General features: G+C 38.7%; 1 long non-coding RNA gene across 1 annotated transcript in view; it reads right to left on the minus strand.

Moving 5' to 3' along the window:
- LINC02296 (long intergenic non-protein coding RNA 2296) overlaps nucleotides 1–7037 on the minus strand; it is a 268818-nt gene extending 261781 nt beyond the window's left edge. Inside the window, exon 1 of the long non-coding RNA XR_007064294.1 lies at nucleotides 6889–7037. This is a non-coding gene — a long non-coding RNA (long intergenic non-protein coding RNA 2296). The remainder of the gene's footprint in view (nucleotides 1–6888) is intronic.
- Between the last annotated feature and the right edge of the window lie 6018 nt (nucleotides 7038–13055).

The following is a 13055-nucleotide window of genomic DNA, read 5'->3' on the forward strand; positions in this document are numbered from 1 at the left end:
ACAAAGGGACTCTGGGCTCAGCCCACAAAACCATTTTTTCCTCCTAAATCTCCATGTTTGTGTTAGAAGGGGCTGCCGCAAATGTCTCTGACATACCCTGGAGACATTTTCCCTATTGTCTGGGTGATTAACATTCAGCTCCTCATGACTTACGCAAATTTCTGCAGCCGGCCTGAATTTCTCCTCAGAAAATGGAATTTTATTTTCTATCACATTGTCAGGCTGCAAATTTTCCAAACTTTTATGCTGTTTCCCATTTAAAACTGAATGCCTTTAACAGCACCCAAGTCACCTCTTCAATGCTTTGCTGCTTAGAAATTTCTTCCGCCAGATACTCTAAATCATCTCTCTCAAGTTCAAAGTTCCACAAATCTCTACAGCAGGGGCAAAATGTTGCCAGTTTCTTTGCTAAAACATAACAAGAGTCACTTTTGCTCCAGTTCCCAAAAAGTTCCTCATCTCCATGAGACCACCTCAGCCTGGACCTTATTGTCCATATCACTATCAGCATTTTGGTCAAAGCCATTCAACAAGTCTCTAGGGAGTTCCAAATTTTCCCACACTTTCCTGTCTTCTTTTGAGCAATCCAAACTGTTCCAACCTCTACCTGTTGCCCAGTTCCAAAGTTGCTTCCACATTTTCAGGTATCTTTTCATCAGTGTCCCACTCTACTGGTACCAATTTACTGTATTAGTCCCTTTTCTCACTGCTGATAAAGATACTTGAGACTAGGCAATTTACAAAAGAAAGAAGTTTAATAGACTTACAGTTCCATATAGCTGGGGAAGCCTCACAATCATGGTGGAAGGCAAGGAGGAGCAAGTCACGTCTTACATGGATGGCAGCAGGCAAAGAGAAAGGTTGTGCAGCGAAACTCTGCCTTATAAAGCCATCAGGTCTCATGAGACTTATTCACTATCATGAGAACAGCACGGGAAAGACCTGTTCCCATGATTCAGTTATCTCCCACCAGGTCCCTCCCACAACACATGGGAATTCAAGATGAGATTTGAGTGGGGCCACAGCCAAACCCTATCACCATGAAAACAAAGAAGGGAACCAGATGAATCTTTGTGCAGACTGAAGGATCAAAACGAAGACTTGGATAGAATTGTCAACACTCAAGAGATTGATAATAGTTTTTAAATGGGAGAGAGGAGACATATGCAAAAGTAGTCTGCAATGACAACACCAAATAGAAAGAAAGAAAAACAGCCTATAAATAAAGAAGACAATTGTGTTAAAAATTATCTCAGGAAAGAAAAGTAATATTTCAACAATGTTTCATATTCTCAAGGAAATTGCAGATAACATGTATATCCCATATTTCATATTAAAGAGGAAATAACAAAACAGTTTTCATTATAAAGGGAAATGGAATTAAAACAATTGCAGCAGCAAAATGCTGAATAAGCACTGCAGAAAAAAAATGATACTGGATTTGTAAAACATTATCTATAATAAAAAATTGGAAAAATGTCAGGTGTTGAAACTTAGTGGCCAATGTGATAGGATTGACAGGCAAGGCCTTTATGAAATGAGTAGACCATGAAGGGTCCTCCTTTAAGAATGGGATTAGGCCCTTATTAAAAAGGCTTCATGCAGCTTTTGGCCCTGTCATTCCATGGGAGGACACAACGTTCCTCCACTCCAGGGGATGCAGCAACCAGGCACCATCTTGGAAGCAGAGTGCAGCCCTCACAAGACAACTGAATTTGCTGGCACCTTGATCTTGGACTTGCCAGCCTCAGAACTGTGAGAGATACATTCTGTTCATTATAAATACCTAGTCTTAGGTATTCTGTTACAGCAGCACAAATTTAACTAAGTTCCTGAATTGAAATACATTTGGGATGCAGATTTAAAAGAATCAACATTCACCACTTAACATCTATAAACATTGAGGATTGTATGTTTATTCTTGAATAAGTTATTGAATTTGAAAACCAGCCCCAGAGTTCTTCAAACAAATGTAGATGCCAAAAAACAATGGAGAAAGTCTACTAAATTCTTTTTTTTAATAGAGAAAAGAGGTTTTATTGGCTTATGCTTCCACAGGCTGTACAGGAAGCATGATTATTGTGCTGGCATGTATAATCCAAGAATTTTCCCCAACTTAGTTTTCACTCTTTATGACAAAAACACAGAGAAATTCTCAAATATGCAGGGATTCAGGAAGCATATTAATATCTACTATTCTTTAAAATATCACAAGGACATAACCCTGCTAATCAAGGTAAAAATCAAAATAAATCACAAAAGGCGAATCTTTCTATGAAGGAATTAGGAAGACCTTAGAACTATCTCAGTAGATAATTTAGTCTAGGTGGCTATTTTGGCTATGTTTATAAAACTGAATGTGAATATTTTAATTCTTGAACAAAAAAAATTTTATTACAGTCTTACAGTATTATGTTATAGTTTATTATAGTATTTCATTTTATTATAGTATTATAGTTTATAATAGTTTCATTATACTTCATGTAACTATTTATTATTTTAATTATAATGAAGTGTAATGAAATCTCTTGAGTCTACCAATACAAGACAGAAAGTAGAAAGGGGTTGTAGGTATTCTGTGAGTCACAGAAAGTGAACTAGTTTCCTCATCTCTCATGGGAGTAATCAATACTCACCAAATCAGTTTTAATTTCAAAAACTGATAAATATTATGCATTTTAGCTAAATACTCAAATCAATTACAAGAAGAACAAAAAATTTGACTATGTATTCCAAATTACTGGAGGGAAATAAACTACTAAAAAATAAAATCAAGTTCAATGTTAAAAATAATACAATCATTAAGGAAGAAAATGTGTGGTGTTGTCTTGGGATTTTCCTGGTTAAAGATGATTGGGGTTCAAGGAGGGGAGAGTGGAAAGCAACATCTCCACTACCTTGAAAGTCAGAAAACTATGTTTTAAGTAACAAATAAAGCAATAATAATATAAGCATAATATTAATGATATAGAAGTAAATACTAAAAACATGAAAAGGAGTATAAGGAGTTGGTTGCATGTGATAAGTAACAATGCAGGTAGGGTGCAGAGAGACCAGGAAACCGATTTTTATTGTTGTTTTTTCCTTTTTTAAAATAAGCTTTTTAGCACAATTTGTTTTTGTGAATATATTACTTGGATTTTTTCTTCCTTAAAGGGGAAAAATGAAAATATGCAGATAAATTCAAACTTGTAAAAGAAAGTATTGTAGTGGTCACATCTAACAAAATTGAATTAAATATAAGGAACACTAAACGAGACAAAGAAAAATATGATTTTTAAAATGAACAAGAGGGAAAAAATGTTGAAGCCTTTGTCAGTCCTGTGAGCAAGAAAACAAGGGCAACCAGGCCTTCTAGAAGTTAGGACATATTACACTGCCTCTGTATTTCAGACAAGGTGATACTGGTACACGAATATACAAACAGATCAGTAGAACAAAATACAAAGTCTAGAAGTCAAGCCAAATACCAGTGAAAGCTTAATATAAGATAAAAATGTTATCTTAAATCATTGGAACAATGATAAACTTTTCAAATAAAGAGTTCTGGGACAACTATAAAGTCACTTAGGAAAAGATCAATACCTCACACCATACACTAGAATGAACTCCAGATGGATCAGGAATCTAAATGCAAAGAAGGAAGAAGAGAAGGAAGCATACAGGTCTCAGAGAAAAACACAAGAGAATTCCCTTTTAACCTCAGTATACAGTAAGCTTTCTAACTTAGTATAGCAATAAAAGATTGATAAATGTGATTGCATAAACTTTTAAAAATCTTTTTATAGAGGAAAAAATGTCAAATCAAAGTAAAAAGATAATTGACTCCCTGGAAGAAAGTATATGGAAAAAATACCAAAGAGAAACTTAAAAAAAAAAAAAAAAAACTCTTAAAAATTGAAAAGTAAAGAACCAAAATCCCAATAGAAAAGTGGAGAAAAGGTATCAACAGACCATTCACAAAAATTAAATAAAAATAGCCCTCAAATAATAAATAATGTTAAAGCTCACTCATAATTAGAGAAATGACAATTTTAATAAACAGTGAGATACCATTTCTCACCTATTAGACTGACAGAACAAAATGTATGAGAACACATTCTGTTGGTTATGTTTTTAGGAAATAGGCACACTCATACATTGCTGGTGGGAATGCAAACTGGTATAAACCTCCGGGAGACTTCTGGCATTGTCTAATAAAACTACATAGAATTACATTTTAACTCAGCAATTTCACTTCTAGGAATTTACAGTAGACCCCATTATACACAGGGAATATATTCCAACACTGCCTTTGGATGCCTGAAACCATGGATAGTACAAACCCTATCGATATTATGTTTTTACCTGAAAACACATATGTATGATAAAGTTTAATTTATAAATTAGGCACTGTAAGAGATTAACAGCAATAACTAATAACAAAATAGAATAATTGTAACAGAATACCCTTCATAATTTCACAAAAGAAACACTTGTTCTTAGTGAAGATTTTAGCAACCTCAGCATATGATTTTTAAAATTTTCTTATAAAGTTGCAAACTTTCATCCTTTCTCTTGATGGAAGCACTTCCTGGCTTCTCTTTGGCAATTCTGAATTACCGACATCACTCGTCTTGCACTTTGAGGCCCCTTATTAAATATAAAGGTGACTTGAGGCCGGACGCAGTGGCTCATGCCTGTAATCCCAGCACTTTGGGAGGCCGAGGCAGGTAGATCACGAGGTCAGGAGATCGAGATCATCCTGGCCAACATGGTGAAACCCCGTCTCTACTAAAATACAAAAAATTAGCTGGGTGTGGTGGCACACACTGGGGAGGCTGAGGCAGGGGAATCACTTGAACCCGGGAAGCGGATGTTGCAGTGAGCTGAGAGCACACCACTGCGCTCCAGCCTGGGCGACAGAGTGAGACTCCATCTCAAAAAAAAAAAAAAAAGTGATTTGAACAGAAGCACTACAGTACAGCGACAGTTGATCTGATCACTGAGACAGCTACTGTGTGACTCACAGGTGGTGGAATAAGCCATGTGGAGATGGCAGACAAAGGGGGGATTCACATCCTGGGCAGGATGGAGTCGGACGATGCAAGACTTCATCATGCTTCTCGGAAGGGCACTGAGTTTAAAACTTATGAATTGTGTGTTTCTGGAATTTTCCATTTAATATTTCTGGACCATGGTTGACCGCAGGTAGCTGAAATAGCGCAAAGTGAAACGAGAGACACTACTGTATAGAAAAGACCCAACAGCGAAATGTAACGTGAGATACTAGGCTAAATCGCAGACCAGAAAAAGGGAACCATATTTGTGGGGAGATCAGTGAAATACAAATAAAGTCCATGGATTCATTAACACTATTGTAACCACATCAATATCCTGATGCTAGTGATTATACAATGGTTATGTCATTTGTCAGCATTAGAGAAGGCAGGTGAAGCATGTTTGGGAACTCTGTACTATTTTTGTGACTTTCCTCTAAGTATAAATTTATCCCCCACTCCAAAAAAAAAAGGTCATACGGAATTCTAAAAATTGTGTCATGGAATAAAGCAAAAGTAGGTTTATTTTCAATTAAATAACAAAGGACTGTCTTTTATCATTACATGCAATGAAAATTAAATGTACAGGTGATGGGCTCCAGGGCAAGGAGGACAGAATCTCTCTCTCTCTCTCTCTCACACACACACACACACACACACACACACACACTTCTGCTAAGAAACACAAAGCAATAAAACAGCCAACAGGTTGTTGACCTAAGCACTGAGTAAGCCTAAGCACAGGGACGGTATAACTAATATACTTTGGGTCCAGAAGAGACAGAATGACTTACATATAGAAATGGCTGGTATTATTTATCTTGATCTAAAGCAAATGAATTATGCTATAAATAAACACCAAAAAATGCTGGCCAGGCACAGTGGCTCACGCCTGTAATCCCAGCACGTTGGAAGGCTGAGATAGGTGGATCACCTGAGGTTAGGAGTTCGAGACCAGCCTGGCCAACATGGTGAAACCCCGTCGCTACTAAAAATGCAAAAATTATCCAGGTGTGGTGGCACGCTCCTGTAATCCCAGCTACTTGGGAGACTGAAGCAGGAGAATCCCTTGAACATGGGAGGCGGAGGTTGCAGTGAGCCGAGAATGGGCCACTGCATTCCAGCCTAGACAACAGAGCAAGACTCCATCTTAAAAAAAATACAAGAAAGATAGAAACACATAAAACTGCAACTTTTTAAAAACGCTTTACATCCATGAGCATTTACTCTATTATGTTTCCATTACATTTTGCCCCTTGAGAAAATTAGAACAGCAAATGCCCTCCACACAGAACATTTCCCACCACTACAGCCACCTTCTTCAAGCATGAGGAGAAAGTGTTGCTCTATAAAACCCAATTCTCTATGAATGGCTGTCATACGAAACTGAGAAAATGGAGTGAGACAGATTCCAAAAAGATTAATGACAAGCACAATCAGCATTAATTATTGTGAGTTAAGTTTCATTTCCTGGAAATAATCACAGTGATGGAATATTTCCATTGAATTAGTTACTGCCATTGGGATTGACTTGGCTGAGTGAATTCCAAATTATATTTCTCTATACTTTTAATATGGAACAGAAAAATGAAAGAATTTTACAGTGTACATGACTTAGATTTCACCATTAACATTTTTAGCTTATCAATTATCTAACCATTTACTCTACTGTCTATACATCCATCCATCTTATTTCTGATGCATTTCAAAGTTAACTCTATACATCCATATACTTTCCCCTAAACATTCTAGGATGCATCTCATTATCTAGTAAATTCCAACATAACCCCCCTACTTTATGGGTCTATTGACTGCAATGCAGTTAGCAGCTATTGAATTTTATCCTCACCTCTGCTTCCGACCTTGAATGTAAAGGCAGCCTGATCCACAAAGACGGTCATATCGGAAGTCCTGAAATCTCAGTACTGGTCCCCAACTGCTGTGCCAGACAGACCCTTCACTTCTAGTCATTTAGAATCACTATGATGCAAGAACCCACTCACCTACATACTCTAAGGTGGGTGGAGAGAACAGGAGACTGGTTATTTTTTCATAGGCATGGACAGTGCCTGTACATCTATATATAGGACATGATTAATATGAAATTAATTCAATATTGACAGGACATTGTGGTGAGGTAAGAACATTTAATCTGTAAGAGTCTGTTCAAATTTGTATATGTATATGACTATTTCTTAGGAGAGTTTCGTAGCTTACATATTTTCAAATACATCAGTGACTAAAGATATTGAGAGCCACTGGTCTAACACTTCCCTCCTTCAGACAGTGGGCATTAGTAATTCCAGATTGCGTTATCTCTTTTGCCTGCCACATCCCACCATTGACTTATATTTAGCGTACTTCAACCAAAGCCCCAATTTATTTTCCCCACACTATACTTTTACTGTAGATCTTTTTTGTTTACTTGTCTATCCTGGTGATTAGTGAGTAACTTTGTCCATTAAGCCAACTTGGATGCATCATTAACCAGAAAAAAGAGAAAACAGGTAGTGAAAAGTCAATAGTTTGTGATATTTACGACACCCCTCAGAGTGTGAACAAAAGAAATATGGTTCTGGCATTGTGACTCCAGTCTTAACCCTATGAGTCATTATTTGGAAAACTAGTGAGTTACATCTTCCAGTTACCTTTCTGTGCAGAAAAATCCCTCAGGAAGTAATAAATACAGGAAAGCATCTTGGATTCATCCAGCCCCCTACTGTGTCGGCTGTTATGATCCTGAATTGTAGACCATTTCTTCCACACTGCCTGGATCTCCCATAGAATCCAGCACAATACTGTGTCCAGAGCAGGGGCTCAGTAAGCTCTTATTTTACTGGAATATCCAACCAAGGGCCAGTTTGGAATTTACCTATATTACAGAAATATTAACCTTCTTGAAGACCAACATTTTGGGAACAGCAAGACCCTAAAAACTTCTAATTAAAATAAAGTTGCCCAATTAAAGTGACCTTTGGCTGAAAGGTAATGAAACCATATTTTCTAATTTCATTGTTCCAAACCAGCCTCTCCTACTTTCAGAAGGAACATCACTTTTAGGCAGGGGGGTTCTTCCTTTCAACTTTTATTTTAAGTTCAGGGGTACAAATGCAGGTTTGTTACATAGGTAAGCTTGTGTCATGGGGGTTTGTTGTAAAGATTATTTCATCACCCAGGTATCAAGCCTAGTACCCAGTAGTTACTTTTCCTGATCTTGTCCCTCCTCTCACCCTTCACCCTCTGAAAGGCCCCAATGTCTGTTGTTCCCGTCTTTGTGTCTATGTGTTCTCATCAGTTAGCTCCCACTTATGAGAACATGCGGTATTTGGTTTTCTGTTCTGTGTTAATTTCCTAAGGATAATGGCTACCAGCTCCACCCATGTACCCACAAAGGACACGATCTCATTCATTTCTTACGGCTGCATAATATTCCATGGTCCACATTTTCTTTATCTGGTCTGTCATTGGCAGGCATTTAGATAGATTCCATGTCTTTGCTATTGTGAATAGTTTGGCAATGAACATACGCATGCATGTGTCTTTATAACAGAATGATTTATATTCCTCTGGGTATATATCCAGTAATGGGATTGCTGGGTTAATGGTATTTCTGTCTTCTTTAGGTTTTTTAGGAATCGCCACACTGTCTTCCACAATGGCTGAACTAATAAGCATCCTTTTCTCACCACAACCTCACCAGCATCTGTTATTTTTTGACTTTGTAATAATAGCCATCTGACTAGTGTTAGATGCTATCTCATTGTGGTTTTAATTTGCATTTCTCTAATGATCAGTGATGTTCGGCTTTTTTCATATGATTGTTGGCTGCATGCATATCTTCTTTTGTAAAGTGTCTATTTTTTTGCTCACTTCCTTATGGGGTTGTGGTTTTTTTCTTGTAAATTTTTTTTAAGTTTCTCATAGATGATGGATATTAGACCTTTGCTGAACGCATAGTTTGCAAAAATTGTCTGCCATTCTGTCTGTTTACTCTGTTGACAGCTTTTTTTTTTGGAGGGGGGTGGTTTTTTGTTTGTTTGCTGTACAGAATCTCTGTAGTTTAACTGGACCCCGTTTGTCAATTTTTGTTTTTGTTTCAATTACTTTTCCCATGTTCATCATAAAATCTTTGCCACTGCCTATGTCCTGAGTGGTATCTAGGCAGGGGATTCTTTAAGACTTTAATTCCATCTCCCGTCAGTTCTATCATCTTTAGTGAGCCAGGTCTCCTCATCTGTGAGAGGCTATTTGAGAGTGATTGCAGCTGCAGCATGTGGGGACGCAGACTGTAAACCACTTCTGAGCTCAGAAGGAAACACTACTATAATTAATTAGGAAATCTGTCCTGCACCAAGTAGTCTAAAGAAACCTTAACCCCAAACGCTCTGAACAAGCCCAGTCCCACAGAATGATTATGATGTTTACGATGGCACTGTTCACTGAGTAGCCACTGAATGCCCGTGTCTTTGTGCTTAGTGCTCACAGAAGCTCCGTGTGTTATGTGCTATTAGTAGCCCCATTTTACTGATGACAACCTTGAGGCACAGAGAGGTTTTACAGCTACAACTTCCTGAATGATAACCCGGCATCATTCAACCTCAGAAGCAGCGTCTTGATTGGAATATCTTCCCCAAACAAACAAAAACTACAACAACAACAAAGTGGGTTGGGGTGGGGAGAACATCTATCTCAGGTAGCGGGTTGATGGAGGTGGTAACCTTGGCGTGTCGAAGTCCCTCCATCAGGAGCCTCAGATCTGTTCTTAGCTCTCTGCTGCTCTCTAGTGGCCAGTGGCCACACTTTTTCTTGGATTGAAGAAAGCCCCCAGTGCATGGCCAGGGGCCATTGACTACATCAAAACAGCTATTACTTAGGTAAGCACAGACCAATACATAAAAGGCCACAGATCATTTATTCTGCCTACCTTCTCACTATTAAGTCATTTTTTGATAGTTTTGTTGTTTTAGAAAAAGCAGTTATTTGAAAAGCTGAATTTGCCTCTTCCCCATTCGACTTAAGATGACACATCCAGATGACTAAATACCTCTTGCTCTGCCGTCTTCACTGCCCGTTGGTGTAGACTTCAAATTTCACCTTGGCCTATCACTTCACTCTCTGTCTCTCTTTGACCACTCCCACACTAATTTGCACACCTAAGATTTCTCAAGTTGCTTTTTTAATAGTGGTAATAGACTTTGTCCAGTAGTACCACATAACCTCCCTATTCTGATTTAAATAAAAAGAAGCACAGCAGTGGTTGATAATAATGACTATCTTTGACCGCTTCCAAAAAGTCCCAAAATTCTATAACATGAAAGGAAATAAAAGGTACTAGGGAGAATAGAACAGTGAACTACAGAAAATGACAAGAGGTATTATGTTGATGGATGGGTACTGAAAAAGATAGGTTGCTCTCAACCTTATTCAACGACAGATGTTAAGAAAATGTATCATCTATAATTTACTTTTTGCACCTAGATGTTTTGTGGCTTTTCCAACTATTGAGTAATAGGCTCCCTAATGGTAAATATTAATCCATTGCTATAATCACTAAATATATTTCAGCTTTTATGAAGACCTTTGAATATTCATATGTCCTTGTGAAAAGCTCTCTGTTTATCTGCAGACTCCTCAAAGATGTTTCTGCTTTCCTCTGAATTACTGGCCTCTCGTGTACTTTATTAATATTTCTCTTTAGAGCTCTTTGAATTAACTTTTTCTTTTCACTGTCTCCCTGGAAACAACAATGTTGCCTCAGTGTAGAACAAGAGAAAGACAACAAAGGAAATGAACTTCCCCAAATTATCTGCAGTGAGAGGAAGTGCAGCAGAACAGAGAGGGAGGATTAGAATCCGCCAACGTTCAGGGTGTGAACGAGAGGATTGTTGCCCTTTAACAGCCAAGCTGGCTGAATAAAAACTGCATTGTAAACACAATATAACACTAAGCAAGCAGATGTACCCATCCAAGAAACCTGACACCTAGATGACAGGTTTTATATTTAATGTTCTAGAATGTTCCCAGGTCCACACAAAATCCATCTCCTGGCTACTTGCAGGTCCCTGAAAGTATATGATAGCATGGCTAAGCCTTTTGTAACTTGTGACCCTTTATGATAAACATCTCTTAAGCCCTTCTTCAATGGTATTTAAAAACTCAAACTAAAGAACTTAGCTAAAATCCTGGTTCTAGAATATCTAAGTCATAATCAGTATCTTAGACTCTCTTTCTTGGAGACTGGTCTTCCTAGAAACCAGACTGTAAAGCAAAGATTCACATGCAGAAAGGTTATTGAAGGACATCTCAGGATCAACCTTTGGGTTTGGTAGGGAAGCGGGGAGCAGAAGAGCAAGGCTGGGCAGAAAGAGAAGATGAACTGTGACGCAGGTGTGACAAAGGCCTCAGTCAATCATACATGAAGCTCTGGATCTGAGATGGCACTTCAAGTTGTCTTGAGTTGAGGCATGAAGGCTGGGCCTTTGTATCCTGTCATGAAAAGTCACTGGATAAAGGTTATACCAGGGGAAGGGCATGACCTTGAGCAATGTAGCCCTGTCCTGAAAGGAACACAGCGATGACCTGTCAATAGTTAACACTCTCAGTAGATGAGGTGATAAGTGTCTTCTCCTAAAGGGAGCATCTACTAGGCTCAACCATCAGTTTAGTATCCTCCTCCTTGCAGCAGAAGGTAATAGGAGCCCTGGTACCAGTCCTCGATTAATGGCCTGCAATTGTCATTGTTGCCATTCTATCAGCTGAAGTATCAAGGCACAAAGGTGGATTTTCTAACCAAAGTCACATAGGCTTCCAGGGCAGGTCATCAAATCCTCTTCCAGTTCTCTAAACAGTACATTAAAACCCAGACCTTCTTAGTAGATCACCCTGGCCTATCAATAAATCCCAATGAATGCCCATTGATCTCGTAACACAGAGAAAGTATTTTCAAGGAACTTGTCGTTTGCAGTCACTGACAGCCGCTTTATCTTCTGTGACCACTCCTCCAACATAATTCTTCCCTGGGCCCAATGTCCTAGAACTCAGAGTAATTTTAGTACGAATGCAGATTCACCCATTATGTAGCGGTAAGTCTTAAGTGTTACAGAAGATTCACTGCAAAAACAGGCAACTCTGGAGACTAGGCTCTTCTCCTAGGGCACGGTGCCAATATCCTATAGATATAGCAAAGTGGTGGTAGCTCTCATAGGTTACTCTCCTAGCTTGTGCAACCAGGCTTGTCCTCTGCTCATGAAGCAGAGGGACAGGGATCCCAGGTTCTATTATTAGTGGATGTATGCAGATTTTCAAATTCTTTAGGCCAGGTGTAGTGGCTCACGCCTGTAATCCCAACATTTTGGGAGGCTGAGGTAGGCGGATCACGAGGTCAGAAGATTTCAAGACCATCCTCGCTAACATGGTGAAACTCCATCTCTACTAAAAATACAAAAAATTAGCCGGGTGTGGTGGCAGGCACCTGTAGTCCCAGCCACTCGGGAGGCTGAGGCAGTAGAATTGCTTGAACCTAGAAGGCGGAGGTTGCAGTGAGCAGAGATCATGTCACTGTACTCCAGCCTGGGCAACAGAGTGAGACTCCGTCTCAAAAAAAAAAAAAAAATTTTAACCCACTTATCTCTCCAGCTGCTTCACACAAGGCAAATCACAGTAATACAACTTAGCTTTCATATTCTACCTCATTTCTTAACCCTTCTGAATTCTATTGTGTTTGTCATTTCATCAGAAACCCTCAGTCAGATTGGCTGGTCAAAATTGTCTTCCTGATCTCCTCCAAGAGACTTCTCTTGGTGTATAAGTAATAAACCAACAGGCAAATTTGGCAGTATTTTTGTGAAAATTTGCGAGCCAGTTAATAGGATCTTAATAGACTAGGCCTTGCTTTGTGTTACGTGCATTTGCTGAAGTTTTGCCCTATCATTTTGACCCTCAGCTAAATTTTTCTATTCAGAACAAACACAGAAACAGCTTTCTCTGACCCTCAGCAGGAAGTAGAGAAGGAGCTCT

This window comes from Homo sapiens, chromosome 14 (assembly GCF_000001405.40).
Source record: "Homo sapiens chromosome 14, GRCh38.p14 Primary Assembly".
NCBI classification, from domain to species: domain Eukaryota; kingdom Metazoa; phylum Chordata; class Mammalia; order Primates; family Hominidae; genus Homo; species Homo sapiens.